Source organism: Homo sapiens, chromosome 5 (assembly GCF_000001405.40).
Source record: "Homo sapiens chromosome 5, GRCh38.p14 Primary Assembly".
NCBI lineage: Eukaryota > Metazoa > Chordata > Mammalia > Primates > Hominidae > Homo > Homo sapiens.
Genome location: NC_000005.10, coordinates 141,484,901 through 141,508,782, shown reverse-complemented (window position 1 = coordinate 141,508,782; position 23,882 = coordinate 141,484,901). Strand labels below are relative to the sequence as shown.

At 51.4% G+C, this 23,882-nt stretch overlaps 22 protein-coding genes and 1 further gene across 27 annotated transcripts in view, besides 7 other annotated features; all 23 read right to left on the bottom strand.

The window, feature by feature from the left end:
* Nucleotides 1-19,702, bottom strand: part of PCDHGC5 (protocadherin gamma subfamily C, 5) — a 23,895-nt gene extending 4,193 nt beyond the window's left edge. Inside the window, exons 1-3 of one of the 2 annotated variants that reach the window (NM_018929.3) lie at nt 17,083-19,702; nt 13,918-13,976; nt 3,302-3,390 (exon numbers count right to left, since the gene is read on the bottom strand). In NM_018929.3, the coding sequence (NP_061752.1) occupies nt 3,302-3,390; nt 13,918-13,976; nt 17,083-19,542 (2,608 nt within the window). In that variant the 5' untranslated portion in view covers nt 19,543-19,702. Of the gene's footprint in view, nt 1-3,301; nt 3,391-13,917; nt 13,977-16,905 lie in introns of those variants that run through there. The other variant, NM_032407.1, reaches the window with a different exon arrangement.
* PCDHGC4 (protocadherin gamma subfamily C, 4) overlaps nt 1-23,753 on the bottom strand; it is a 27,946-nt gene extending 4,193 nt beyond the window's left edge. The window contains exons 1-3 of one of the 3 annotated variants that reach the window (NM_018928.3): nt 21,168-23,753; nt 13,918-13,976; nt 3,302-3,390 (exon numbers count right to left, since the gene is read on the bottom strand). In NM_018928.3, coding sequence (NP_061751.1) covers nt 3,302-3,390; nt 13,918-13,976; nt 21,168-23,609 — 2,590 coding nt within the window. In that variant the 5' untranslated portion in view covers nt 23,610-23,753. Of the gene's footprint in view, nt 1-3,301; nt 3,391-13,917; nt 13,977-20,993 lie in introns of those variants that run through there. The other 2 variants (NM_001386884.1, NM_032406.1) reach the window with 2 other exon arrangements.
* The window catches only part of PCDHGA1 (protocadherin gamma subfamily A, 1), a 182,462-nt gene that overhangs the window by 4,193 nt on the left and 154,387 nt on the right, over nt 1-23,882 (bottom strand). Inside the window, exons 2-3 of the mRNA NM_018912.3 lie at nt 13,918-13,976; nt 3,302-3,390 (exon numbers count right to left, since the gene is read on the bottom strand). Coding sequence (NP_061735.1) covers nt 3,302-3,390; nt 13,918-13,976 — 148 coding nt within the window. The remainder of the gene's footprint in view (nt 1-3,301; nt 3,391-13,917; nt 13,977-23,882) is intronic.
* The window catches only part of PCDHG@ (protocadherin gamma cluster), a 182,295-nt gene that overhangs the window by 4,197 nt on the left and 154,216 nt on the right, over nt 1-23,882 (bottom strand).
* Nucleotides 1-23,882, bottom strand: part of PCDHGA2 (protocadherin gamma subfamily A, 2) — a 174,216-nt gene that overhangs the window by 4,193 nt on the left and 146,141 nt on the right. The window contains exons 2-3 of the mRNA NM_018915.4: nt 13,918-13,976; nt 3,302-3,390 (exon numbers count right to left, since the gene is read on the bottom strand). Coding sequence (NP_061738.1) covers nt 3,302-3,390; nt 13,918-13,976 — 148 coding nt within the window. The remainder of the gene's footprint in view (nt 1-3,301; nt 3,391-13,917; nt 13,977-23,882) is intronic.
* PCDHGA3 (protocadherin gamma subfamily A, 3) overlaps nt 1-23,882 on the bottom strand; it is a 169,147-nt gene that overhangs the window by 4,193 nt on the left and 141,072 nt on the right. Inside the window, exons 2-3 of the mRNA NM_018916.4 lie at nt 13,918-13,976; nt 3,302-3,390 (exon numbers count right to left, since the gene is read on the bottom strand). Coding sequence (NP_061739.2) covers nt 3,302-3,390; nt 13,918-13,976 — 148 coding nt within the window. The remainder of the gene's footprint in view (nt 1-3,301; nt 3,391-13,917; nt 13,977-23,882) is intronic.
* The window catches only part of PCDHGB1 (protocadherin gamma subfamily B, 1), a 162,877-nt gene that overhangs the window by 4,193 nt on the left and 134,802 nt on the right, over nt 1-23,882 (bottom strand). The window contains exons 2-3 of the mRNA NM_018922.3: nt 13,918-13,976; nt 3,302-3,390 (exon numbers count right to left, since the gene is read on the bottom strand). Of these exons, the coding sequence (NP_061745.1) occupies nt 3,302-3,390; nt 13,918-13,976 (148 nt within the window). The remainder of the gene's footprint in view (nt 1-3,301; nt 3,391-13,917; nt 13,977-23,882) is intronic.
* The window catches only part of PCDHGA4 (protocadherin gamma subfamily A, 4), a 157,955-nt gene that overhangs the window by 4,193 nt on the left and 129,880 nt on the right, over nt 1-23,882 (bottom strand). Inside the window, exons 2-3 of the mRNA NM_018917.4 lie at nt 13,918-13,976; nt 3,302-3,390 (exon numbers count right to left, since the gene is read on the bottom strand). Of these exons, the coding sequence (NP_061740.2) occupies nt 3,302-3,390; nt 13,918-13,976 (148 nt within the window). The remainder of the gene's footprint in view (nt 1-3,301; nt 3,391-13,917; nt 13,977-23,882) is intronic.
* Nucleotides 1-23,882, bottom strand: part of PCDHGB2 (protocadherin gamma subfamily B, 2) — a 152,982-nt gene that overhangs the window by 4,193 nt on the left and 124,907 nt on the right. The window contains exons 2-3 of the mRNA NM_018923.3: nt 13,918-13,976; nt 3,302-3,390 (exon numbers count right to left, since the gene is read on the bottom strand). Coding sequence (NP_061746.1) covers nt 3,302-3,390; nt 13,918-13,976 — 148 coding nt within the window. The remainder of the gene's footprint in view (nt 1-3,301; nt 3,391-13,917; nt 13,977-23,882) is intronic.
* PCDHGA5 (protocadherin gamma subfamily A, 5) overlaps nt 1-23,882 on the bottom strand; it is a 148,814-nt gene that overhangs the window by 4,193 nt on the left and 120,739 nt on the right. Inside the window, exons 2-3 of the mRNA NM_018918.3 lie at nt 13,918-13,976; nt 3,302-3,390 (exon numbers count right to left, since the gene is read on the bottom strand). Coding sequence (NP_061741.1) covers nt 3,302-3,390; nt 13,918-13,976 — 148 coding nt within the window. The remainder of the gene's footprint in view (nt 1-3,301; nt 3,391-13,917; nt 13,977-23,882) is intronic.
* The window catches only part of PCDHGB3 (protocadherin gamma subfamily B, 3), a 142,734-nt gene that overhangs the window by 4,193 nt on the left and 114,659 nt on the right, over nt 1-23,882 (bottom strand). The window contains exons 2-3 of the mRNA NM_018924.5: nt 13,918-13,976; nt 3,302-3,390 (exon numbers count right to left, since the gene is read on the bottom strand). Coding sequence (NP_061747.2) covers nt 3,302-3,390; nt 13,918-13,976 — 148 coding nt within the window. The remainder of the gene's footprint in view (nt 1-3,301; nt 3,391-13,917; nt 13,977-23,882) is intronic.
* Nucleotides 1-23,882, bottom strand: part of PCDHGA6 (protocadherin gamma subfamily A, 6) — a 139,085-nt gene that overhangs the window by 4,193 nt on the left and 111,010 nt on the right. The window contains exons 2-3 of the mRNA NM_018919.3: nt 13,918-13,976; nt 3,302-3,390 (exon numbers count right to left, since the gene is read on the bottom strand). Of these exons, the coding sequence (NP_061742.1) occupies nt 3,302-3,390; nt 13,918-13,976 (148 nt within the window). The remainder of the gene's footprint in view (nt 1-3,301; nt 3,391-13,917; nt 13,977-23,882) is intronic.
* PCDHGA7 (protocadherin gamma subfamily A, 7) overlaps nt 1-23,882 on the bottom strand; it is a 130,234-nt gene that overhangs the window by 4,193 nt on the left and 102,159 nt on the right. The window contains exons 2-3 of the mRNA NM_018920.4: nt 13,918-13,976; nt 3,302-3,390 (exon numbers count right to left, since the gene is read on the bottom strand). Coding sequence (NP_061743.1) covers nt 3,302-3,390; nt 13,918-13,976 — 148 coding nt within the window. The remainder of the gene's footprint in view (nt 1-3,301; nt 3,391-13,917; nt 13,977-23,882) is intronic.
* PCDHGB4 (protocadherin gamma subfamily B, 4) overlaps nt 1-23,882 on the bottom strand; it is a 125,278-nt gene that overhangs the window by 4,193 nt on the left and 97,203 nt on the right. The window contains exons 2-3 of the mRNA NM_003736.4: nt 13,918-13,976; nt 3,302-3,390 (exon numbers count right to left, since the gene is read on the bottom strand). Of these exons, the coding sequence (NP_003727.1) occupies nt 3,302-3,390; nt 13,918-13,976 (148 nt within the window). The remainder of the gene's footprint in view (nt 1-3,301; nt 3,391-13,917; nt 13,977-23,882) is intronic.
* Nucleotides 1-23,882, bottom strand: part of PCDHGA8 (protocadherin gamma subfamily A, 8) — a 120,343-nt gene that overhangs the window by 4,193 nt on the left and 92,268 nt on the right. The window contains exons 2-3 of the mRNA NM_032088.2: nt 13,918-13,976; nt 3,302-3,390 (exon numbers count right to left, since the gene is read on the bottom strand). Of these exons, the coding sequence (NP_114477.1) occupies nt 3,302-3,390; nt 13,918-13,976 (148 nt within the window). The remainder of the gene's footprint in view (nt 1-3,301; nt 3,391-13,917; nt 13,977-23,882) is intronic.
* PCDHGB5 (protocadherin gamma subfamily B, 5) overlaps nt 1-23,882 on the bottom strand; it is a 115,029-nt gene that overhangs the window by 4,193 nt on the left and 86,954 nt on the right. The window contains exons 2-3 of the mRNA NM_018925.3: nt 13,918-13,976; nt 3,302-3,390 (exon numbers count right to left, since the gene is read on the bottom strand). Of these exons, the coding sequence (NP_061748.1) occupies nt 3,302-3,390; nt 13,918-13,976 (148 nt within the window). The remainder of the gene's footprint in view (nt 1-3,301; nt 3,391-13,917; nt 13,977-23,882) is intronic.
* The window catches only part of PCDHGA9 (protocadherin gamma subfamily A, 9), a 110,198-nt gene that overhangs the window by 4,193 nt on the left and 82,123 nt on the right, over nt 1-23,882 (bottom strand). The window contains exons 2-3 of the mRNA NM_018921.3: nt 13,918-13,976; nt 3,302-3,390 (exon numbers count right to left, since the gene is read on the bottom strand). Coding sequence (NP_061744.1) covers nt 3,302-3,390; nt 13,918-13,976 — 148 coding nt within the window. The remainder of the gene's footprint in view (nt 1-3,301; nt 3,391-13,917; nt 13,977-23,882) is intronic.
* PCDHGB6 (protocadherin gamma subfamily B, 6) overlaps nt 1-23,882 on the bottom strand; it is a 104,955-nt gene that overhangs the window by 4,193 nt on the left and 76,880 nt on the right. The window contains exons 2-3 of the mRNA NM_018926.3: nt 13,918-13,976; nt 3,302-3,390 (exon numbers count right to left, since the gene is read on the bottom strand). Of these exons, the coding sequence (NP_061749.1) occupies nt 3,302-3,390; nt 13,918-13,976 (148 nt within the window). The remainder of the gene's footprint in view (nt 1-3,301; nt 3,391-13,917; nt 13,977-23,882) is intronic.
* The window catches only part of PCDHGA10 (protocadherin gamma subfamily A, 10), a 99,989-nt gene that overhangs the window by 4,193 nt on the left and 71,914 nt on the right, over nt 1-23,882 (bottom strand). Inside the window, exons 2-3 of the mRNA NM_018913.3 lie at nt 13,918-13,976; nt 3,302-3,390 (exon numbers count right to left, since the gene is read on the bottom strand). Of these exons, the coding sequence (NP_061736.1) occupies nt 3,302-3,390; nt 13,918-13,976 (148 nt within the window). The remainder of the gene's footprint in view (nt 1-3,301; nt 3,391-13,917; nt 13,977-23,882) is intronic.
* Nucleotides 1-23,882, bottom strand: part of PCDHGB7 (protocadherin gamma subfamily B, 7) — a 95,299-nt gene that overhangs the window by 4,193 nt on the left and 67,224 nt on the right. Inside the window, exons 2-3 of the mRNA NM_018927.4 lie at nt 13,918-13,976; nt 3,302-3,390 (exon numbers count right to left, since the gene is read on the bottom strand). Coding sequence (NP_061750.1) covers nt 3,302-3,390; nt 13,918-13,976 — 148 coding nt within the window. The remainder of the gene's footprint in view (nt 1-3,301; nt 3,391-13,917; nt 13,977-23,882) is intronic.
* PCDHGA11 (protocadherin gamma subfamily A, 11) overlaps nt 1-23,882 on the bottom strand; it is a 91,925-nt gene that overhangs the window by 4,193 nt on the left and 63,850 nt on the right. For both annotated transcript variants that reach the window (NM_018914.3, NM_032092.2), the window contains exons 2-3: nt 13,918-13,976; nt 3,302-3,390 (exon numbers count right to left, since the gene is read on the bottom strand). In NM_018914.3, coding sequence (NP_061737.1) covers nt 3,302-3,390; nt 13,918-13,976 — 148 coding nt within the window. The remainder of the gene's footprint in view (nt 1-3,301; nt 3,391-13,917; nt 13,977-23,882) is intronic.
* PCDHGA12 (protocadherin gamma subfamily A, 12) overlaps nt 1-23,882 on the bottom strand; it is an 82,469-nt gene that overhangs the window by 4,193 nt on the left and 54,394 nt on the right. The window contains exons 2-3 of the mRNA NM_003735.3: nt 13,918-13,976; nt 3,302-3,390 (exon numbers count right to left, since the gene is read on the bottom strand). Coding sequence (NP_003726.1) covers nt 3,302-3,390; nt 13,918-13,976 — 148 coding nt within the window. The remainder of the gene's footprint in view (nt 1-3,301; nt 3,391-13,917; nt 13,977-23,882) is intronic.
* The window catches only part of PCDHGC3 (protocadherin gamma subfamily C, 3), a 37,010-nt gene that overhangs the window by 4,193 nt on the left and 8,935 nt on the right, over nt 1-23,882 (bottom strand). For both annotated transcript variants that reach the window (NM_002588.4, NM_032403.3), the window contains exons 2-3: nt 13,918-13,976; nt 3,302-3,390 (exon numbers count right to left, since the gene is read on the bottom strand). In NM_002588.4, coding sequence (NP_002579.2) covers nt 3,302-3,390; nt 13,918-13,976 — 148 coding nt within the window. The remainder of the gene's footprint in view (nt 1-3,301; nt 3,391-13,917; nt 13,977-23,882) is intronic.
* Nucleotides 798-847: an enhancer, noted in NCBI's record as "active region_23301". NCBI's record gives its function as "activates an Ori minimal core promoter by ATAC-STARR-seq in GM12878 lymphoblastoid cells {active_cell/tissue: GM12878}" and the evidence as "EXISTENCE:reporter gene assay evidence [ECO:0000049][PMID:35858748]".
* Nucleotides 1,118-1,167: an enhancer, noted in NCBI's record as "active region_23300". NCBI's record gives its function as "activates an Ori minimal core promoter by ATAC-STARR-seq in GM12878 lymphoblastoid cells {active_cell/tissue: GM12878}" and the evidence as "EXISTENCE:reporter gene assay evidence [ECO:0000049][PMID:35858748]".
* Nucleotides 15,775-15,894: an enhancer, noted in NCBI's record as "active region_23299". NCBI's record gives its function as "activates an Ori minimal core promoter by ATAC-STARR-seq in GM12878 lymphoblastoid cells {active_cell/tissue: GM12878}" and the evidence as "EXISTENCE:reporter gene assay evidence [ECO:0000049][PMID:35858748]".
* Nucleotides 16,225-16,274: a silencer, noted in NCBI's record as "silent region_16454". NCBI's record gives its function as "represses an Ori minimal core promoter by ATAC-STARR-seq in GM12878 lymphoblastoid cells {active_cell/tissue: GM12878}" and the evidence as "EXISTENCE:reporter gene assay evidence [ECO:0000049][PMID:35858748]".
* Nucleotides 16,425-16,874: an enhancer, noted in NCBI's record as "active region_23298". NCBI's record gives its function as "activates an Ori minimal core promoter by ATAC-STARR-seq in GM12878 lymphoblastoid cells {active_cell/tissue: GM12878}" and the evidence as "EXISTENCE:reporter gene assay evidence [ECO:0000049][PMID:35858748]".
* Nucleotides 17,005-17,074: a silencer, noted in NCBI's record as "silent region_16453". NCBI's record gives its function as "represses an Ori minimal core promoter by ATAC-STARR-seq in GM12878 lymphoblastoid cells {active_cell/tissue: GM12878}" and the evidence as "EXISTENCE:reporter gene assay evidence [ECO:0000049][PMID:35858748]".
* Nucleotides 23,655-23,882: a silencer, noted in NCBI's record as "fragment chr5:140864468-140864695 (GRCh37/hg19 assembly coordinates)". NCBI's record gives its function as "represses an EF-1alpha promoter that drives an FKBP-Casp9 reporter gene in an ReSE screen in K562 erythroleukemia cells {active_cell/tissue: K562}" and the evidence as "EXISTENCE:reporter gene assay evidence [ECO:0000049][PMID:32094911]".

The following is a 23,882-nucleotide window of genomic DNA, read 5'->3' as shown; positions in this document are numbered from 1 at the left end:
GGGGCTAGAGGGGGGACCTCAGAGGCGCCAGAGAAAGAGCGGGGTGGGGGGTGTAGTCTCCCTGCACACAGAAAAGAATGAGGAGGAACACGGAGAAGCAGGGAGAAGGGAGGCAGAGACAGAATGACAGGAAGGGCCTGACGGAGTAGCTAGAAGCTCGGCCCACCCACGTCCTATGTGCACCCAAGATCTCTGAGTAGCACCCCGAGTGGGTGCAAGTGACAAAGCCATCCCCCGCCCACCTCGTGGGGGGTGCCCTGAGGTTGGGCTGGACCAGGAGGGAGAGAAGATATGGAAATCCAGAATGTAAAAGAAAGAGAATATTTGCTCTGCTCTGCCACTAAGGAACTGTGTGAGCTTGGTCAAGTCTCTGCGTGGCTCAAGCCTGTTTTCCCATCTATAAATCTGAGGGGAAGAAGTTGGATTGCCAGCTTTGACTTTCTGTAGAGTCAGTTCTCCAGTGCCCCTCCCTCTACACCCCACTCCCCCCAAGGCCCACCTTGGTCAAGGACCGGGATTTTCTCTTGGTCCCAGGAGAGGCAGACTTAGGAGAGCCTCAAGAAGCTGGACATCTTCTGGCCTGGACGAGGTGGGGGTGATGCCTTCTCTCCTGTGCCAGCCTCTACTCAGGGAAACTCAGCCCCCAGCTCCCTGACCTCCCTCTGTCCTCTTAACCTACCCCATCCCAGGGCCAAGGCAGCAACTCCAGAGTAGCCCAAGGAGGCTGATTAGCTGGAACACAGCTGGCTGAGCTGCAAACCGCAGCCTCCTTGAGAGCATCCCTCCCCGCAGATGTTTATTTTAAAAGCCTCCTCCCAAGTGTCGGTTTTTACTCTCCCTCTTACTTAACCCCTCTCAGCAGCCCCACAGGCCTGGCTGGGCTGGACTTCAGGAACCTCTCTGGTTTCAGGGCTAGGAAGCGGGTGTGAAAGTGAGAGCAGGGCCTGACCCACCACCTCCACCCCCAGGGTCCGTTCCCCAGGGCGCAGGCTTAGACGAGGGTCAGGCCCTGTGTGGGCCAAAGGTGGGAGGCCTTGACAGGGGAACGAGCTGCATGACTTGCTTGGAGGGTTTGGGGCCATAAATACTGATTTCATTTCTGTTTTTAACATCTGGATTTAGGCTAAAAAGCTGCTTCCTGGCCTCAGGGCGCAAGGCCACAACAGCTAAATATACCTGTTTATTTCCCTCAAGAGGCCAACTTGGCATCTCCTCAGACCCAGCCGCCTGCCACTTTCATACTCAGTCTCTGGCCTCTCTGGAATCATAGCCCCACCAGACCTGGGACAGCTCTGCCTCAGGAGGCCAGCAGTCCCTGCCACCTCTCTCTCTGTCCTTCCGTCAGCTGTAGGCCTGGCCCCACTTAACCTCACAGACATCTGGGGTAGAGTTGCCAGATTTAGTAAATAAAAGTACAGGGCTCCCAGTTAAATTTGAATTTCAGGTAAACAATGAGCATTTTTTTTTTTAGTACATTATGTCTCATGCAACATTTGAGACTGACTTATGCTGAAATAGTACTTGCTGTTTATCTGACATTCAACTGTAACTGGGCATCCTGTATTTTATCTGGCAACCCTGATCTGGAAGAATAAAGCAGAGCTCGAGGAAGAGGACAGCCTCTCATCCTGCTCAGGTAATAGAGAAGCCGAGGCTGGATCCAAAGGCAGCCATGGTCCCTATAGTAGAAAGAGCATAAACTTAGGAGTTGAGCCAGGTTAGAACCTCAGCTTGGCAGCTCAAAACTGAGGACCCTGGGGCAAGTGCCTTCTCGGTTCTCTCATCTGTCGAGTGTGAGAAATCAGACCTGCCTTGCAGAGCTATTGAGAGGATTCATTGACAGGAGGCCCCTAAAGTTTGTTTAGTATGTGCCCAGGTGTGATGACAGTGCTTCTTGTGATTTCACCTGGTTCTCTACCCACCAGTCCTCCAGACATGCTGGAGGGCAGGGCTATCAGTTCATGATATAGGGCAATGCCTTGATCCTCTGCCAGCCTCCTTATAAGCCCAGGATTTGCTGCTCCAGAAGCTAGTCTTTATTAATAGGCATTATTCTAATTCTGCTTTCTACCCAGTAAAAAACGGGTTTGGGTCAGCAAAGATAATAATATATTGTGCCCTTACTCTCTGCCAATCCTGTGCTGAGGGACTTGCATTTGGCCCTGGTAACACCACAATGAGATCCGTTAATACTGTGCCCATTAATAGTAAGTGAAACCGAGGGGGTTTAATAACTTACCTAAGGACTCATTGCTAAGTGGTGGTGCCAGGTGCCAGGATTTGAATCCAGATTGGCCTGCCTCTAAAGCCTGTGCTCTTTTTTTTTTTTTTTTTTTTTGAGACAGAGCGAGACTGTTGCCCAGGCTGGAGTGCAGTGGTGCGATTTTCTGCTCACCACAGCCACCTCCCAGGTTCAAGCGATTCTCCTGCCTCAGCCTCCCAAGTAGCTGGGACTACAGGCACGCACCACCATGCCCAGCTAATTTTTGTATTTTTAGTAGAGACAGGGTTTCACTATGTTGGCCAGGCCGGTTTCGAACTCCTGACCTCATGATCCTCCTGCCTCAGCTTCCCAAAGTGCTGGGATTACAGGCGTGAGCCACCACGCCCAGCTTAGGCTGTGCTCTTAAGGACAAATGATATTCTTCTTCTCCTGCTCTGGGCCCTAGTGACTCTTCAGGGACAACCACCACTAGCCGAATCTCTATTACAAAGGAAGCCCTTAGTCAACCTTATGGGAAAACCAGAATCCTACTCTGGAGTTAGGGGCAGCAAAAGAGGAGCCTCGCATAAAGAGGAGGTGTTCTCTCGGCTGGGGATTTCTACACCCACTTTCATTGCTTGAGGGCTTCCAAGCGCCAGGCCCAGAACTCTATGCTTTGTGGTATCATCTCATTTAATCTCTACAACAACCCTTTGGGGTCCCTGTCCCCACTTTCTAGGCTGAGGAAACTGAGGTTTAGAGAGATTGAGCAAGTCGATCCAAGTCCCAAGGATAGTAGCAGAGCTAGGACCTGAGCTACACTGTCCCATTCCAGAGCTAGACTTGTAACCACTATTCCCTCCATGAGTCTTTTCCTTGTTCGCTCTCCTCCAGGCATCCCAGGACCCCCAACCCCTCTGCTGTTCCTTAGCCACAATTCCAGGCTTTATGTTTGGAATTGTGGGTCCTTTCAGACCTGCCGAAAGATCTGGAGAAACTACACAGGTTTGACATCCAGTCCGTGGGCATGGTGGCTGTGAGATGCACCCCAGAACCCCAGGTCTCCCACTCTTCCATACACACACTGACACCACTTACCACTGGCGGACGCCAAGATCATGGCTTGCAGCATCTCTGTGTCAAACTGGTTGTTGGGCCAGGTGCCGGTGTCATCGCCATTTTGGGAGCTGGGGAGAGAGTAGGATGGTGAGCACAGACTCCCAGGCCGGCACAGCTCATGCCCCTCCTGTCCTCTCCCAGGGCTCCCAAACCTAGTACCCTAACCCTACCCCATGCCCAAGACCTGTTTCTCTCAGCAAGGTAGGAGGCACTTCTACAATCCTTCAGAAGCCAGAATCCCACAAGTCAGTCCCTCAAACCAGCTCTTTGCTGCCTCCGATGCTTTTTTCTTTTTGTTTTAGACAGGGTCTTACTCTGTCATCCAGGCTGGAGTGCAGTGGCGCGATCTTGGCTCATTGCAACATCCACCTCCTGGGTTCAAGCGATTCTCCTGCCTCAGTCTCCCAAGTAGCTGGGATGACAGGCACCTGCCACTGTGCCAGGCTAATTTTTGTATTTTTAGTACAGACGGGGTTTCACCATGTTGGCCAGGCTGGTCCAATGCATTGAACATAGTGCATTCCCCCACCCACCATGAGAGAGCCTGGCTTCCTGTCATAGTGAGGGAGATCAGACCTTCTCCAGAGGACTGTGAAGGTGGGAAATGGAAGAGAATGTTCCAGAGCTAGAGAAAAAGTGGGGACCTAGGAGGTACCTAGGGGGAGATGTAGGAGGCCCCAAGAGACCCTGGAGCAGGGAGAAGAAATTTCTAAAATTCAATGGCTTCCTAAGCCCTCAGAGTAAAATCCACGGCCATAGAAGAACCTGCCCCTCCTATTTTACAAGAACCCCCACCCCCCGCCCTCAAACACTCTATCATCAAACCTTTTCCAAGGTGCACTTTCCTATCCCTCAAGTTCCCTCTTGCTGTGAATCCTGGGCAGATGGTGTTCCCTAGAATGCCAGTCCCCCAACATTTGCCATGATGACACGAATAAAATATATCAGAGGAGATCCACTCAGACTGGGCAGGTGCCTCCACTGTACTCCCATCCCAGCGGCTGCCCCACATGGCACTAGTCACACTGCAGCTGTTGTAGTGCCTGTCTGTTCCTCCACCACACTGGCTTCTGTGAGGCAGCGACTCCACCTGCTTCCTACTGAAGCACCTAGCACAAAGCCTAGCACTTGGACCTAAGTGAGACTTTTAGAAACTCCGAGTGTTGAAAAAACATGAAATGATTCATAATTTAAAAAAATACTAAACCATAAGAAGAACTCTCTGCTTCTTAGAAGGTTCAGCTCTACTTGGAATTTTCCCACAGTGACAATTTTCATGATTTTTTTGAATTTCCAAGGATGAAATTATTTCAATTTGCAGGGGAGTGTTGGCGGGAAACAGCCCTGGCACACACACAGTCTGCCCTTTAGGTAACTGTTTGGCACCATCTGGCTCAGAGAAGTTTTTCAATAAATATTTGTTGCCTAAATGAGTGGGAAGAGACCAGCAGAGACAGTTAAGTGACTGTAAGGTAAGAAGAAGGGTTTGGCACCATGGGAAAGGCTGTAGGGTAGGCCTTGAAGGCATGAAAATGTCTGTGTGTGTGTTGCGTTGTGTGTGTGCATATTTTGTCATGGTGGGTGAGCACAACCAAGAACTGCTTTACAATTTTTCCAAGGTCTGTCCCTGCTTTTGGTTTTGCCCAATCTGGGATTCCCCGTCCCTAAGTAGATGAACTCAGCCTAAGAACAGACACAAGGCTGCCATGTGTGACCTCTATACCATCACAACAAACATAAAGCTAGGGTTGAAGGGGAAAGCAGGAATCTCAATTCTCCTTCCCAAAAGTGGGAAGAGTTGTAATTCTGTTTCCATTGATTCAATAATTATTTCTTTTCTTTTTTCTTTTTTTTTTTTTTTTGAGCTGGAGTCTCGCTCTGTCACCCAGGCTGGAGTACAGTGGCGCGATCTCGGCTCACTGCAACCTCTGCCTCCCAGGTTCAAGTGATTCTCCTGCCTCAGCCTCTTGAGCAGCTGGGACGACAAGTGCACACATGCCACCATGCCCAGCGAATTTTTGTATTTTTAGTAGAGATGGGGTTTCACCATATTGGCCAGGTTGGTTTCGAACTCCTGACCTCATGATCCACCTGCCTCCGCTTCCCAAAGTGCTGGAATTACAGGCGTGAGCCACCGCGCCCCTCCAACAATTCTTTCTTGAGCAATTTCTATGTACCAGACACAGAGCCAGGTGCTGGGGTTGTGGCTGTGAGTATGATAGAAACTGTCCATCTTTACGGTGCTCATGGTGGGCACTGAGAGGCTGATTTTAAATAATTACACAATAGAGTAATTGCAATTGTGATACTTGCCATGGGCTGTGTCAGGGGCTACCAGAGGGTATGAAGAGAGGCAGGGGCGGGCAGACCACGAGGTCAGGAGATCGAGACCATTCTGACCAACATGGTGAAACCCTGTCTCAACTAAAATAGATATTAAAAAAAAAAAATTAACCGGGCATGGTGGCACACGCCTGTAATCCCAGCTACTTGGGAGGCTGAGGCAGGAGAATCGCTTGAACCCAGGAGGTGAAGGTTGCCACTGCACTCCAGCCTGGCAACAGAGCTAGACTCCCTGTCAAAAAAAAAAAAAAGACAGAGAGTCAGGGTTAGGCAGCTCAGCCAGTCCAGGCTTCCCCAAGGAAAAGACAGTGAATTTAAATCTGAAGAAATCATCCAGGTAATTTTCAGAAGAATACCAGCAAATACATGTAGAAGGAATGACAGAACATCACCGCTTTGTAATCACTGATGTAAAAACAGATACAGGCAAGGATCATCAGGGAATACTAAAATTGCATGAAGGGTTGCTGCCTATCTCAAAGTATCATCCACAGATTACTTATATTTTCACAAATATTTTAAAATATCTTTATAAAAATATATTTTTATAATGGAGAGATCTGGGACACTGTTTTTACCACACGAACAAACTCGGCATCACTGATAGTGGGACAGGCCGACGTTAGATGAGTCCCAGTGTGATGCTGCGGGAAGTATTCCTACCAAGGTGTGTAATCTGAATCTAACCATCAGAGAATAGCCAGCAAATCCAGGTTCGGGGACATTTTAAAGTACAACTGGCCTGGACTCTTTAAAAATATCCATGTCATTAAAAAAATAAAAAGACTGGGAGCTGGCTCCAGATTAAAGGAGAGGAAAGACGTGACAACCAAATGCAATCTATGCTCCTTGATAAAATCCTGGATTAAAAAAAAGGATAAAAGAACACACAGAACATTTATGAAAATCTGCTGGTGGATTCTATATTATTGTATTAATGTTAAATTCCTCAACTGAATATCTGGGGTCCTTACTTCCGGCCCGACTGAGCTCTGTGGGCCTGGCTGAGGGTGCAGGGTCAAGGCCAGGTGTTCTCAGCCCCAGGTGAAGGGGGCTAATGGGAATAAAGTAGGGAGAGCAGGCAAGCGGCGGGGGTTGCAGGGAGGAGAGCATGCGGGTTGTCAGGGAGACAACGGGACCAGATGCCAGAGGTTAGGAGGATGACCTGTCACAGGGAGCAGTGGTGTTGAGGGAACAAAGCTGAGTGGAACAGTGGGGTTGGAACCATGATGATCAGGAGTGTAAGGAGGCGTCCTGGGAAATGGTTGAAGGTTGAGGGCCAAACAGGTGGGTGGGCTGCCAATTATGTGAAGCTGGGTAAGAGATGAGCAGAGGGAGAGAGACCTCTTTTTTAACCATTTACTGAGAGCTTCCTATTCTAAGCTGACTGGGTAATATATTTGTCTTTTTTATCCTCGGAATCACCCTGCAGATAAGTGTTGTGATTATCTATATTTTCCAACAGATGAAAACAGGGCTCAGAGAGGTTGAGAGACTATACCAGAGTCACACAGCTGGAACTGGTAGAGTTGCAACCTGAAAGCCAGCCTAATATGATTCCAGGGCCTATGATCTTATGCACAACAACGTACTGGGCTTCAGCTTGGAGGCCTTGGAGCCCCAGCAGCAGATATGAGGGACTCTTCCAGGATTTGGGGAATAGTGAAAAGTAAAAATGGAAGAAATGGACTACATTTAGTCAACTATTTTCCAAGCAGTGGCCTGTGACAGGACCTAGGATTTAAGAGATGATGAATATGGTTCTTGCCCTATTGAGTTTGGGGTGTGTGTGTGTGTGTGTGTGTGTGTGTGTGTGTGTGTGTGTGTATAAGGGAATATCCCATAGACTGGACTATAATAAAATACTCCCTACATCATGCTCAAAAAACTGAGAAATCTAGGAAGTCACCCTGACAACACCCTGAATTTAATTGTGTTAAAATGTAAATGAGGCTGGGGATGGTGGCTCCCACCTGTAATCCCAGCACTTAGGGAGGCTGAGGCAGGCGGATCACGAGGTCAAGAGATTGAGACCATCCTGGTCAACATGGTGAAACCCCGTCTCTACTAAAAATACAAAAATTAGCTGGGCGTGGTGGCGCGTGCCTGTAGTCCCAGCTACTCAGGAGGCTGAGGCAGGAGAATTGCTTGAACCCAGGAGGTGGAGCTTGCAGTGAGCCGAGATGGCGCCACTGCACCCCAGCCTGGAGACAGAGCGAGACTGTCTCAAAAAAAAAAAATTGTAAATGAATGTGTATGTTTTCTAATGTAGCAAAAGCCCATTAGCATTAGAAAAATAATATGTATATTCATATGAGGACTTATTCTGTAAAATAATATGTATATTCATAAGAGGAGTTACTCTGCAAATGACTTGGGAAGAATTTTGAAAGACATGGGGAAATTCTCATGATACACTGCAAAGAAGAAAAAAGCTATAATTCTGTTGGACAGTATGGCCTCAGTTGCTATTTTTAAAAAACTAGTAGGAAATGTACCGTATGACTGGGAATAACAGTTCTTAATATGTGAATAAAGTGTCACATGAAAGTGTGACAAGTTTGTGAACAACTTATTTAGGTGAATGAGATTTTTTTAAAATGAAGCTCGGCCAGGCGCGGTGGCTCACGCCTGTAATCCCAGCACTTTGGGAGGCCGAGGCGGGCGGATCACGAGGTCAGGAGATCGAGACCATCCTGGCTAACACGGTGAAACCCCGTCTCTACTAAAAATACAAAATAATTAGCCGGGCGTGGTAGTGGGCGCCTGTAGTCCCAGCTATTCTGGAGGCTGAGGCAGGAGCATGGCGTGAACCTGGGAGGCGGAGCTTGCAGTGAGCCGAGATTGCGCCACTGCAGTCCAGCCTGGGTGACAGAGCAAGGCTACGTATCAATAAATAAATAAATAAATAAATAAATAAATAAATAAATAAAAATAAAAATGAAGCTCATGCATGTTCTTTGATTACACAAAGAAAAGTTTAGAAAGATATATATGAAAAGGCAGGGATTCAACAAATAAATTGCAAAAATGGAAGATGGAGGGGAAGTCTTTTACATTAAAAGAGCATTAAGATACTTAAGAGACACTCACTCAAATATAAAATGTGGACCTTATGAAAGAATCATCTGGCCGGGCAAGGTGGCTCACACCTGTAATCCCAACATTTTGGGAGGCCGAGGAGGGTGGATCACTTGAGGCCAGGAGTTCAAGACCAGCCTGGCCAACATGGCGAAACCCTGTTTGTACTGAAAATACAAAATATTAGCTGTGTGTGGTGGTGCACACCTGTAATCCTAGCTACTTAGGAGGCTGAAGCATGAGAATTGCTTGAACCCGGGAGGCGAAGGCTGCAGTGAGCTGAGATTGTGCCACAGCCTGGGCAAGAGAGTGAGACTCTGTCTCCAAAAAAAAAAAAAAAAAAAAAAGTCATCTGTTAAAGATGGTGGAGACCAAGATGAAATTATATGATGTCTGAGATTTGCTTCAAAAGAATCCAAGGACAGGATAAGGGTAGGGATATAGGTGAAACAAGATAAGGCATTAGTTGAAGCTGGATAGTGGTATCATACAGGTTCATGACACCATTCTCTCTACTTTTGTACATATTTGAAATGTTTCATATTAAACTGTAGTTGGTGGTGGTTCTCCCTAGATTGTAAAATGATGGGTGGTTTTCCTTTTAATTTTTTTTCTATTTTTCATGTTTCTATAATGAGCATGTACTATTTTATAAGTGGAAAAAAATTAAGTTGCTATTTGTTTGTTGAATGACTGCCCAAACTGAGAGAGAGCAGGGATACTGTCTCTCAGAGGAGGGATGGTAGTGTGGAGCCATCAGAGAACAGTCTAGGGACCAAATGGAGACTCTTTGTGCAGAGGCTGGGGACAGCTGCAGGGCAGGGCCTGGGTTACAGCCTAAGAAGGGGGAAATGGTTTGCTGGGCTCAGAGCTTGAGACAACAGCTATTGGGATCAGACACCCAAAGGATGACCTGAGAAGGGATAGTGGTGGGGAGGAGAAGCATGTGCCAAGCAGGAACTTCAGAATGTAAGTCTTCTTCATTTTTTCTCCCTTTTTCTTTCTTTTCTTCCTTCCTTCCTTCCTTCCTTCCTTCCTTCCTTCCTTCCTTCCTTCCTTCCTTCCCTCCCTCCCTCCCTCTCTCTCTTTTTCTTTCTTTCTTTCCTGATGGAGTCTCGCTCTGTCACCCAGACTGGAGTGCAGTGGTGTGATCTCAGCTCACTGCAACCTCCGCCTCCTGGGTTCAAGCGATTCCCCTGCCTCAGCCTCCTGAGTAGCTGGGACTACAGGTGTGCACCACCACACCTGGCTAATATTTTGTATTTTTACTAGAGATGGGGTTTCATCATGTTGGCCAGGCTGGTCTCAAACTCCTGACCTCAGGTGATCCACCCACCTCAGCCTCCCAAAGTGCTGGGATTACAGGCGTGAGCCACCACACCTGGCCAGGTCTTCTTCCTTCTGTCTAGGCAGTGTGACCCAGTGCTGACTTGAACTTGAACCAAGTTTACTGAAGAACTCAATACTAGCCCTGCTTTGAAGCTGGTGTGTCTGACCAGACCAGGCTGGAGGGCAGTGGGCAAGATGGTGGGGAGGGAGTGAGGCAGGGCATCAACAGAAGGCTGGAACCAGGGTTAGACTGGATAAAAGGAACCTCTCCTCTTCATCCCCTCACTCCAGTGCCAGCAAAGAGAAAACTCCCTGCCATTCCCTTGATCCCAGGAGGCCTCACCACAAGGCTTTTGCATAGGCTTTTCCCATTTGGAATGCTCTTCCTTCTGTGTAGGCAGTGTGACCCAGAGCTGGCTTGATCTTGAACCAAGTTTACTGAAGAACTCAACACCAGCCCTGCTTTGAAGCTGGTATGCCTGACCATCTGGAATGCTCTTCCTTCTTTTCTTTAGCTGGTTAATTTGTATTTGTCTTTCAGATCTCAGCACAACTTCATTTCCAGGATGTCCTCCTGCTCCCTAAATCAAATCCCTATTATACGCCCACACCACCAGATACAATTCTACCTAGCACTTATGACAGTTTCAGTCTCACATTTATTTTTGTAATTATTTGGTCAATATTTGTCTCCTTCAGTGCACTGTAAACTCCTTGAGGGCAGGGGCCTCCCACATCGAGAACACTGCCTGGCCAACAGAAAGTGCTCACTGACCATTTGTTGAATGAATGAAGGAGAGAAGTTGAAGTTACTGGACTAGATCCTAACGCTTATTTCACTTTGGAGCCGCTGAATCAAAAATGTTTGTTGTGGCCGGGGGCGATCACACCTGTAATTCTAGCACTTTGGGAAGCTGAAGCAGGTGGATCAGTTGAGGTCGGGGAGTTTGAAACCAGCCTGGCCAACGTGGCGAAACCCATCTCTACTAAAAATACAAAAATGAGCTGGGTGTGGTGGTGCACACCTGCTGTCCCAGCTACTCGGGAGGCTGAGGCAGGAGAATCGCTTGAACCTGGCAGGCAGAGGTTGCAGTGAGCCAAGATCGCACCACTGCACTCCAGCTTGGGCAACAGAGCAAGACTCTGTCTAAAAAAAAAAAAAAAAAAGGTTTGTTGCATCCTCCACAAGTTAACTAAGGAAGCAGAGAGAGGAGAGAGAGAGAGGTTCCGCACCTTCTCCTCCATATCTCCAAGAGCTCCCACATGTATTCCAGGCCACTAAGCCTCTCATTTGATGGAATGGGAGTTGAGGCAGGGGTAAGGTGCTCACCCCAGAGGACACATGAGAGGCAGTTGGTGGGGCTTCCAGGTTCAATGGTGAATTCTGCTTCAAAGCCAGTGTATGGCCTGGGGTGGTGGTAGGTAGAGGGAACATAAATGGCCTAGAACTTCTCAATGTCACCTCCTCCTAGAAGCCTTCTCTGATCTTCCCCCCCCCATTACACTCACATTGTTCTCTGCCTCTCAGAACTTACTGTGATTTGTGGCTAGATTATTTTTTTTTCGTGATCTCAGCTCACTGCAACCTCTGCCTTCCGGGTTCAAGCAGTTCTGCCTCAGCCTCCTAAGTCGCTGGGATTACAGGTGCCTGCCACCACGCCTGGCTAATTTTTGTATTTTTAATCGAGATGGGGTTTCACCATGTTGGCTGCCAGGCTGGTCTCAAACCCCTGACCTCAAGTGATCTACCCACCTTGGCCTCCCAAAGTGCTGGGATTACAGGCGTGAACCACAGTGCCCAGCCTTTTTTTTTTTTTTTAAGTGTTACTTGTTGCAAATTTTCAGTCTCCTCTGCTGGTCTGGAAGCCTATGAGTTCTGGGATCACATCTACTTGTTCACTCCTATAGCCCAATGTTTAGCACAGGGCCCTGCTCATAGTAGATGCTCGATAAATATTTGTTGAATAAATGAACGAATGAATACATTAATGACTTAATGGATAACTTATGAGAAGGTTGGCAAGGCCAGCAGGGAGAAGGACAACAGCTGGGGTCAAAGGAAGGGCAAGGGCAGCCCAAGCCTTTTGATCTGCTGCTTTTTAGGGGCCTTCTAAGAAGCGCTTTGCGTTCCTAAAATGGGTGACAGGACTGTGCATGCCCAGAAGCTGGAATCTCTGCCATACACCAAGGGCTCCTGGGTCCTTGTGGCAACAAGGGTTTGGTTGGTTGCAGGATGGGGGAAAGATAACTCTTGGAAGCTCAGCATCTGTAGCAACTTGGCAAATGTGGACAGCAAGTACTCAACCATTGAGGAGGTAGGGTAAGGTGGCCCAAGCTCCTGCTTCTCTCCCTGGGCTCTGAGACTCCTCCAGGCTCCTGACTTCTAACTGGGAGGCCTGGCGCAGAGCCTATCCCACTCTGCTCAGACCAACTGAAGGTCTTTCTGCTGAAGTTTCCCTCCCCTTCAGCCCGCAGGGGGTTCCTGTCTCAGCAGGAATTCATACCAGATTGAAATGAGCAGCTGGGGCTGCTTGGATGGGAGGGTGTCTGGTGGAGAGCTGCGATCAAAGGCTCAGTGTGTGAGGGGCAGGGAAGGAAGAGAGCGGGGTGTTGGTGGGTGGTGGGTGGGGGGTTGTGTGTGCTGGCTTGCCCACAAGCACAAAAAAATGAGAGACAGAGACAGAGGCTCAGAGAAAAAAGACAAGATAAAAGAAAAAGAGAGATAAAGAAAGAGTAACAGAGAAAGAGGCAGAAAAAGACAACAGGCACAGAGACCAGAGACAGAGACAAAGAAAGATATACAGAGACAGAGACAAAGAGAGACAAAGAACAGAGAGGAAAGCAGAAATAGTGAGAGACAGAGAAACATAGAGGCTGGGGATAGAAGAACACAAGGCGCTAGGAAACGGTGAAAGGAGAAACAGAAAAGAGGTCCAGGACAAGGACAGGGAGGCAGAGATAGAGAAGGAGAAAGAGACTAAGGGTCCCGTGTAGTTACTCACTCCACATTTATTGAGCACTTATGCCATGGCAGGCACAGTGGGCGGCACAGATCAATGCAAGTAGACAAATGAAAGGGACTGAGGCTGAGGTGCAGCAATCAAGACGGAAGCTAAGACAGAGATGGAGAAGAGAGGGAGAGGCAGAGATTGCAAAGCGAGATAGAGACTGAGGGAAGGACTGAGAGGTAAGAGAAAGTGGCAAAGACGGAAACTCAAGAAAAAGGGGCAGAGACACGGAGACCCCACAGACAGAGAGCAGGACAAGTAGGGGCAGAGGACAGTGGGAGGAGGGGCCGGAGAAGGGGGCCTGCTCCATGCCCCGCCCAGTCCTTCCTCAGTTCCACCTCCAGCTGTGCTGCCTCCACTCTCCCCAGGCTGCAGTCAGCCTCGGCTCTGGAGGCTCTGGAGGAGGCGCTGAGTGCGGACCGCCTCCTCCGGTCAAATGCTTTTCTGCCTGAGCCCCAGGTCATAATGGAGCCCAGCTCAACTCAGGGGAGGGGGTTAGGCAGTACATGGGCATAGAAAGCCTCGCTTTCACCCAGAGACCAGCTTAAGACCATCCTTTGGTTCCACAGTGCCCTCAGGGGATAGGAAAAGGTGCCGGTCGTGGCGAGGAGGGAAGGGGCAAGCATGTGAATTGAGCTTCCTGAACAGTCAGGGCAGTCGCCTCTTCCTTCCGGGGTCTGTGTGCCAGCCCCCCGCACACCAAGACCTCCCTGGGATCTCAAACTGAGGGAGAAGCCATCTGTAGCAAATGCTGGGCCCTCCCCCATCTCCTCCCACGTCATCCCTGAGAAAATGCCGCAGAGAAGAGGGTGGGCTGGAGAATCAGTCACCTACCCGCTGGTGCCGGGTCTCTGGGCCTGAGAGAAACGCCAGTCCGTGTTGGGCGGGGCTTGCTGTGGAGAAAACAGAGGGAAAGGGGCTGAGTACCCGTGAGAAGTTAGAATGTCACCCGAGCCCCTAGGGATGGGCCGGGAGAGAAGGAGGGGAGTGGGCACAGAGAAGAAAACGGACTAAGAGGGGGCAGGGGTGGACTCATCTCCAAAGACAAAATACACCTCAGGTCTCAGAGGTCTGAGGTACCAGAAACCAAGAGATAAATCACATTTCATCTGACCACAGTGAGCAAGCTGAGACTCCTTTCCTAAAGAAATGGCCCCTTCCTCCCTGCCCCCAGAGTCAGAACTCCTGAGCCAAAATTCAAGGACTGAAGGCATCTTCTGTGGAACTGGGGGAAGAGGTGCAGACAAAGCCCCCTAAAGTGGCAAAGGAGGCTTTTCAATGAGAATTCTACCAGCCCTAGAATGAATTTATTCAACTCCTCAGCTGGGAACAAAGCATCCTCTGCAGCAAGATGGCTGCTGTTCTTGGTAACCCTTTTGGTGCCAGGTTGTGCAGTGACACATTCACAGGGACATCTTCTCTGGGCCCTTGGCTTGCAAGAATCTCTTCCCACAGCTAAATACATTATTAATTTAGGAGTCATGCCAGATTGGGCCTTTGCGGGGCATCCAAGTCCCGGGACACTTCTCACCCCTAGAACTCCGTGCCAGACAATGGTCTGTGACTAAGGAGAAGAGAACAAGGCTGCTCTGTCTGAGACGGAGAAAAATGGAAGGGATGCAGCGGGGAGGGATCCAGCTCCCACAGCCTCCAAGCAGGGCCAACTAAGTCTCCAGGGCTCCCAAGGGGCTGATGTGTAGCCATCTCCCACCTAGCTGAAGGTGTGGGGCTCTGGCCAGCCACTTCATTCCTGAGTCCCTTCTGGTCTTTCCAGGGGGTGTGTTATCCCATCACACACTCTCATGGAGCACTCCTAGAGCCACCTCCTCACTGGTTCTGGGGTGGGCTGGTAATTAATACTCATACTTGCTCCCAGAAGCAGAGAGTGTGAGTATCTCAGATTACTCCAGGGAGAAGGAAGCTCCGGAACTGCCAGTGGCTCACTCAAGGCTCACAGGTGGCAGTGATATGAGCAGAACCCAGAAACCTAGCATTCCAGGTGTATCGGGAGTCACCAGCACCATTCTGGGGCTGCCATGGAGAAGGGCACAGGGATGGCCAGCCCTCAGCCACTGTATTCTTAGACACAGCAGAATCTACATGGAAATGCAGTGATTGTGATAGGAGGAAACGGAGCTGGGGGAACTCAATCTCCAAAAGGATAACTGGCCAAGTTTGCGCTGCGGGGACTGCTCAGAAATGAGGAGCCACAGAAGACTTTCCCCACATGTAAGGTCCTAAAAGGGAAGGAACCCCACCCTTGCCCCATCCCAGCAGAAGCAAAATCCCAGCAGAGGCAACTCCCCTCTCCTGTCCTCAAGCTTTTAAAGTTCCAAGTGCCAAGAAATTAAAAGCACACATTCTGGAGTTAGACAGGGGTTAGAATCTCTCTTACTTGCTCTGTGAACTTGAGCAAGTCACTTGACCTCTGTGAAGCTGTTATAAGAGAGGCATGTTAGTACCTAGCCAACAGCAATGGTGGGAAGAGCAAATGAGATGAGGTTCTCAAAGGAGTTATATAGTAAGTTTCTCTCAATCAGCTATCAAAATCACCTGGGGGTGTTTCAAAATACAGTCCTAGGAGCAGAGTTAGGCATTGATATATTTTGAATAAAAGCTCCTGGAGTTGGAGAAACTTGTGTTTTTTACTATTGTAGTTTCCTCACACATAAGGGCACCCTGGCATCTGGCAGAGCCTATAGCTTTCCATCTGCCAGAGGAGACAGGACTTGTTAGAGTGTCAGATAGTTTGGTCACCTCCAAATCTCTGACCCTAGATCGCTGGGCACATTGTGATCACGACGGCGCCAAAAGCCTGTATCTCTGGGGGTTGAGAGCCAGGGCGCTCGAGGCTTTCACTTCCTGCGGGAGGAAGGGGCCGCTGGTGCCACTGGAGTCCCAGTCCTGCTGTCCTATAGAGGCTCACTCACTCGCCCAACGCGGAGCCCTGCCGCGCCTCGGCCACTGGGCAGCTCTGCCTGTCCGCCTGCTCGAGGCTTCTGGGTTGAGGGGTCGCCGACCCTTGAGACGGAGTCCCGGGACCATCCGGACCTCTGGCCCAAGGATCGTAGAGTCCTGCCCGCCCGGCACTTAGAGCGGCAGTCGCTCCAGCGCTCCTGGCCCCGCGCCTCGCTCAGGCCGCCCCCCAGGCGACCCGGCCCAGCCCGGGGCGCAGGTGGGAGAGGTGAGAGGAGGCTCCGGAGTCCTCGCCTGGTCCTGGGCGGCCGCGATCTGGGACCCTCAGGCGCGCACAATCAGCTACGAGTACTCCTGAGCCCGGCGGAGGGAGCGGCAGAGGGGAGCTGCGAGTGGACCGGAACAGGCCTGTGAATCTGGCCGCGAGCGAGTGGCAGTGAAAGCTGGTATTCGCGTAAGCCCACGTGCGAGGAGTGCGTGCGTGCGTCCGCGCACGTGTTGGCGGGGCGTGGCGAGCCCGTGCAACTTGTGTGGGCCGTGGGGGTGGCCAGCAGGGAGGACACGCATGAGCCCCGCGCGCACACCTAAGTCCCGCAGACAGGTGCGGTTGGGTGATGCGGGGATAGGGAGGGTAACAGTGAAGTCACAGATGCTGGGAGCTGGGGAGAAATCGAAGAGGAAATCTACAGACCGGCGAAGCGTGCCGGAGCCGGCGCCTAGGAGGCTGGCTGCAGGGGTGGATCTGTGACTGCCTCCTCCCGGGACCCCCGACACCCGCGGAAATCGCCCGAAATTCACCGGAAGCTCGAAGGAGGCCCCGGCCTTTTTTGAGTGTAGGGGTGGGGGTCGGTCCCACCTCCCCTCGCCCACAGTCGCCACCACCCCCGGTGCTCGGAGCCCCATCCCTTAATCGGCCACTCTGGTTTCGCGCAAACGGTCCAATGATCCCGAGAATCGGGTGGAGCGCAGCCAGCGACCAAGCCGGCCGGAGAGGAGTGGATGCAAGTTCAATCCCTTATGAGGACGGGCGGCTTCTCCAGTGCCGCCCCCAGGGGTCGCCCGGGGCGGCGCCGAGCCCCTCACCTGGCTCCGCTCCCGCAGCGTATTAGAGCGGGACCGGATGGCGTCAGGCTCCAGCGCCAGAGCTGTGGGCTGCTGAACGCTGAGGGGTCTTAGAAAAGTGAAGTCACTGCCGTCCGAGGCCGGTGAAAAGCACGTCCTGTAGCAGTGGCTCTGCGAGTCTGTGGGCCGCAGCGTCACCTCCATGTACTTGAGCGTGCCGTCCGAGCTCACCTGCAGGTTGGGGCTGGACTGCTTATAGAAGTCCGGGGAGGGTGAGTCCTGGCGCCTGCAGCACTGCCCTCCACCCCCGTCCCCGTCTGCGTTTCCCTGAAGGCACTTCGCTGACAGAAAGGTGAAGGTGACTAGGGATAAGAGACTGACGGTCGCTAGAGCCACAATGAGGTAAAGGGTAAGGTCTGAACGCTCAGGAGGGTGTATGAGGAAGTCACTGGATTTGGGCATTTCCTCAGGGTCCTCATCCTCCAGAACCAGCAGCACTGTGGCTGTGGAGGAGAGTGAAGGGTCACCATTGTCCCTCACCAGGACCACCACCTGCTGGGTGTCAGAGTCATCCTCCAGTAAGGCCCGGGCTGTGCGCACCTCACCAGTGTGTGTAGACACGAGGAACAGTCCTGGGGCTGTGGACTGTGGCAACAGTGAGTAGGAGAGCCACGCATTGTGGCCTGCATCAGCATCCACGGCTGTCACCTTGGTGACCAAGGAGCCAGGAGGAGCAGAGCGAGGGAGACGCTGGGGGGCTGAGTGTTCCCAGTCTGGCCGTGGGTGCAGCACAGCTGGGGCATTATCATTCTCGTCTAGGACAAACACATGCAGAGATGTGTTGGCATGCAATGGGGGAGAGCCGGAGTCTCGAACCCCCACCACAATCTGCAGCATCTGCAGCAATTCATAGTCAAAGGTACGCTGGGCAAAGATCCGTCCATCCTCTGGGTTGACATACACAAAGGAGGAGGCTGGGGCTCCCTGAACCTGATTTCCTACAATGGAGTAGGTGAGGCGGGCATTATCCCCAGTGTCTGGATCTGAGGCAGCCACAGTGCAAAGAAGGGAGCCCGGAGGCCGGTTTTCTAGGATGTAAGCAGTGTAAAGCTGCTGGTTGAAGCGGGGTGCATTGTCATTGACATCTGAAATGTTGAGCCTGATGGTGAGATGTTTGTGTAGGGAAGGTGAACCAGCATCGCTGGCCAGCAGCTCGATGATATAGTGGGATGTGGCCTCCCGGTCCAAAGGCTGGCTGGTTAGCAGCGAGTAGTGGTTCTCAGAAGGCTTAATCTGAAATGGCAGGTCCGGAGAGATATCAAGGCTCACTTCACCATTTCTACCTGAGTCCCGGTCTCGCACATTAAACAACCCCACTACTGTGCCCACTGGTGTGCTCTCTAGGACAGGGTTGGCCAAAGAGGCCAATAGCACCTCTGGGGCATTGTCATTGACATCCCCCACATCCACTTGAATCACACAGTGGCCCTCCATGGCAGGCTGTCCCTGGTCACGGGCTCTTGCATGAATTTCATAGAAACGTGACTCCTCAAAGTCTATGGGACCCAACACATGGATTGCCCCACTGCTAGGGTCTAGGCCAAAGAGGTTCCGCACTGCCTCAGATGTGTGGTCTCCAAAAGAATAGTCTAGTTGGCCGTTGGTGCCCTCGTCTGGATCAGTGGCATTGAGGCGGAGCAGCAGAGTACCAATGGGTGCATTCTCTGGGATTCCCACACGTAGAACTGAGGATTGGAAGGTTGGAGCATTATCATTGATGTCCAGCACGATGACAGAGATAAGGGTGGTCCCTGAGCGGGCTGGGGTCCCCCCATCCACAGCAGTAAGCACCAGCTGATGTCTTGCCTGGGCTTCACGATCCAGCTGCTGCTCTAGCACCAGCTCTGGGAATGGCTTCCCATCTTTTAGGGTCTTCACATTCAGAGAGAAGTGGCTGTTGGGGCTTAGAGTGTAAAAGCTCACAGTATTGGTGCCCACATCCGGATCCTGGGCACTGTCCAGTGGGAATCGTGCCCCAGATGCTGCTGATTCTGAGATGCGCATCTCTCGCTCAGGGGTGGCAAAGCTAGGAGAGTTGTCATTGAGATCCAGGATCTCTACCTCTACACGGATTAGCTCCAGGGGGTGTTCAGTCACCACCTGCACTGGCAGCAGGCAGCTGGTGCTGGCTCCACATAGGCTTTCTCGGTCAATCTTTTGATTCACTGCCAGGGCACCACTCATCAAGCTCAGGGAAAAATAGCGCCCATTCTCCTCAGAGCCCAATTGCAGCCGCCGGCTCAACAGATCTGTCATCTTTAAGCCCAGATCCTGAGCAACATTCCCCACCAGCGTCCCCGGCTCAGACTCCTCCACCACTGAGTAACGAAGCTGCCCAGACACCCAGCCCCAGCAGCACAAGGACAACATGCACAGCACTTGCCATTTCCCAGCGAGCTGTGGGAGTGTCTTGGGCCCCATGACCCAGAAGTCCCTTTGTGGAGAGTAAGTCTGTGCTGTCCTGTCTCCAAGGTAGACCCAGGGCTTGGAATGCAGCAGCTGAAGTCTCTTATGTCTCCTTCCAGCCTCTTAAAAACTGCTCGGAGGTTTGCCTGCTTGCAGCAGTTCTTAGTCACCGAGTGGCGGGGGTGGGCAGGGGGGAGGGGAGCTGAATTTGAGTGGAGCTGGGGAGCTGGAGGAGGAGAGGCGGGCTGGAAGAGCAGATCTCCCACCTCAGCTCTGAGTCTGATTGGCCAAAAAGTCTGTGTGCTCTCAACCAATTATGGAGTTTCCTCAATCCTGGAAACCTTGGGAACACAGGCTGCAAATCTGTGTCACAGAAGCTTCCTACCTCCCCACTCACTTCGTGCTGCAGGTTGATTCAGCCCCCTTGGCAGCAAAGTTTGACAGCTCAGATGGTACTCAACAGGGAAGACAAAGTGATACAAAACTCCTCAGCGTTCTGTCCCAGCAACTTCCTGCATGACTTCAGAAGCTTCCACCACTTTGCTTGAACCAGCAAAATCTTGTCCTTCTGGGAGAGGCAAAGCCCATGTATTCCCCCACCCTCCCCCATCCTGCTGAATGCTGCTAAGGTGAGAGAAAAGATTAGTAAGAACCTTGTAAAGTCTTGCCCTGACTCTCCAGCAATGCTTTGCGGAAATCTCAATGTCAGCTGACATGGGACTTAGCTTTTCTGACACCCCAGACCCCAAATGTGGAATGAGTGTTACAGTTTTTGGGTAGGGGAACATTTCTGGGGCTGAATCAGGTCACCCAGGAGGGTGGTCAGAGGCCAAGCATGGATGGCTTGGCTTCTAGGTTTCATGGTTTCACCAAATTCAGGAGAACTCAACTTAAAGATGCACAGGGTGGCTGTTTCTATGAATCAGCCAACTGTAAACCAGTTTTCTGACATAAGTGATTTCACTTACTGTTTTTTCCAAAGGTGATGACCAACCCGCCCCAACCTTCCAATTTACCGCATCTAGTTCAAATCCCCAGTAGGGACTTGATATGAGTCCTAAGACCCAGACCAAAAGATCTATGCCACCACTCTGATGCGTGCCTCTCTATTCCTTTAGTTCTCTCCTCTTTCTGCTGTCTCTATGTTTCAAATAGAGAGGTCCCTTCACAGTGTACTAGATACTGGGAGACAAAGATTTTATTTCCCCTCAATCCCTTGGGAAATGGTAACCTAGAGTTAAGGTACTTCAGAATCTGATCCCCTCTTTCAGGAAGAGTAGAGAAAACAGCCACCTTTGTCCAAGTGACTGCCTGGTGCACTGTACCCTGTGCACTGTAGCCTCCTGTGCTCCCACATTCCATCATCATGCTTCCACAACAGCCTGGCTCTTGATCACCAATTACTTTCATTTCTTACTCAGATATAGGCATGACCCGCCCCCAATGCTAAACTGTGACAACTCTGGTTAATTCACGAAACAGTTACAAAGCACAGCGTCTACCACATAGTTACCTCTTACAAAAATGGTGACATCACTATGGGCACTTACTGAGAGGCCAGTACTCTCTAGGACATGGCCTAGCCATATGCCTGGATCAGAATAACCCTCAAGCATTTGTTGAGCCTGCAAAGGTCTCACCTCTAGCCCATAGAGAAGATCAGAGGGTGGGCAGCTTGGGCGAACAGGCTCCCCTGCCATAGGTGCACTGGGTGACTTCACCATCATGAAGCTATCACTCCGAGTGGGTGCAGAAGCCAAGGGTGTACAGCCATGAGAGTGGCCTCCCACATCAACAAACTTGATAGGGTCATCTGACCCTAGCTGGATTCGGAGGATCCCATTGGAAGGGGGAAGCCCCTCCCTCCTTCGAGATCTGGTGAGACAGGCACAGGTGCCAGCAGGAAAGCATGTGACTCCACAGGCTGCCCCACGAAGACACTTAGAGAGTAGTGCCACGAATGAGCCAAAGGAGACAAAGCAAATTGCCACTAGGGACACAGCCAAGTAGAGGGTTAGACGAGATTCTCCTTCCCTTGGAGCTGAAGATTCTCGAAGATCTGGGACAACTGGATGAGTGTCTTCCTCTAAGGACACTAAGAGAGTAACAGAGGTAGAGAGTGGTGGACTACCACTATCCTTTACCACAATGACCAGCTTCTGTGGTGGGAGGTCAGCTGGGATAGGAACAGCCGTCCGCACCTCCCCAGCATATCGAGAGACTGCAAACAGGCTGGGATCTGGGGCCTCCAGGAGCTGATAGGAAACCCAAGCATTGTAACCTGAATCCAAGTCCACAGCAGTCACCTTTGTGATTAGGTGGCCAGCACCAACTGATGGAGGCAGTGCTTGGGGACATAAGGAACCAGGCCGGGCCCGAGGACGGAGCACAGCTGGAGCATTGTCATTGAGGTCCAGCACAAATAGACGAACTGTTACAGTGCTGCTAAGGGGTGGGTTGCCCCGATCCCGGGCCTGCACCTCAAACTGCAGTGTCTGGGTTTGCTCATAGTCAAAGGATCGAGTAGCATGAACAGCTCCTGTCTGGGGGTTCAGAGAGATGAAAGAGGAAGCTGATACATCTCGATTCCTGGGCTCCAGGAGTGAGTAGGAGATAAGCGCATTCAAGCCAGAGTCTGGGTCAGAGGCTGCAAGGGAGCAAAGCAGGTCCCCTGGGCGATTGTTCTCAGGAACAAACACCTCATGTGACCTCTGAAAGAAAGAGGGTGGATTATCATTCACATCTGAAATATTGAGGAAAATAGTTCTGTGGGTACTGAGAGGAGGGTTCCCAGCATCAGAAGCAGTGACCATGATGTCATAGCTAGATTTGGCCTCTCGATCCAAGGGTCCAGCAGTCACCAGGGAGAACTGGTTCCTGAAGGCAGACTTGAGGGCAAATGGCAAGTGGTCAGGAATGCGGAGGCTCACATCTCCGTTTGACCCTGAGTCTGGATCCTGCACACTGATAAGTGCCACCACAGTGCCAGGTTCTGCACTCTCGGGGAGGGTTCCAAGCTCTGAGGTCACTGTGATGTAAGGGGCATTGTCATTTACGTCCAGCAGATCCACTCGAAGGCTGCAATGTTGCTCCATGGCTGGAGAACCCCCATCGCGAGCCCGCACATCAAATTCATAGTAATTCTCACTCTCAAAGTCTAGGGGCCCCAAAAGAGTAAGCTTTCCAGTAGTGGGGTGCAGGCTAAAGAGGTTTCTTACACGATCAGGGGTATGACCACTGAAATAAAAGGTGACGTTACCACTGGGACCCAGGTCCGGGTCTGAGGCATTGAGCTGGATGAGCACCATGCCCGCTGGTGCGCTCTCCAACACACTAATCCTGTAGCTGGATTGCTGGAAGGCTGGGGCGTTGTCGTTTACGTCCAGCACGGATACCCGGAGCTCTGCGGTGCCAGATCTCGGCGGGTTCCCTCCATCGACAGCAGTCAGCACCAGGCGGTAGTCCGATTGCTTCTCTCGATCCAAAGGCTTCTCCAGGAGCAGCTCTGGGACCAGGCTGCCGTCGCTGCGCTTCTTCACATCCAGTGCAAAGTGTTCATTGGAGCTCAGCCTATAGCTGCTAATCGAATTGCTCCCCACATCTGCATCCTGAGCCTTTTCCAACGGGAAACGCTGTCCTGGAGGAGCTGCCTCCCCAATTTCCAAGTCCAGCTGCTGCCGCGGAAAACGGGGGGCGTGATCATTCACATCTACGATCTCTACCTCTGCTCGGTACATTTCCAAAGGACCTTCGGTGACAAACTCCAGGGGCACGATGCAGCTGGCACTGAGCCCACACAGTGCCTCTCGGTCGATTGGGTTCTTGATGAGCAGGGCTCCGCTGTCCAAATCCACACGGAAGTGTCTTTGGTTCACCTCTCCAGCGACCTGCAGCCTGCGAGCTGACAGACTGTCCGTATCCAGCAGGAAATCTTGAGCGACATTCCCTACAAAAGTCCCTTCCTGTGACTCCTCTGGGACCGGGTAGCGGATCTGCCCACAAACGTAACCCAGGTGGTAAAAGAGGAACAAAAGGGTAGCCCACCGCCAGATTTCTGTCCAGCTTCTCACCTTGCGGAGCATTGCTGCCGCCCGCTAATTCTCTACTTGCTCCTGAGACGCGGATGAAGCCGACCCGCCCCAAACAGCCACAGCAGCTGGAGACACCTATCTCCCTTTCCCCGCGCCAGCTCTGGCGCGGTTCGGCCGGCGCCGCAAGGGTTACGCGCCGTTTTTGCTGGTGGCGGGGTAGATTTGTCTGCCTTTCACCACCCGATTGGCAGACAGCGGCTCCCGGGCTCAGCCAATAGGCTGAGCAGAGAACGTCCCAACAGCAGCAGGGTTAATGCGTCGCAG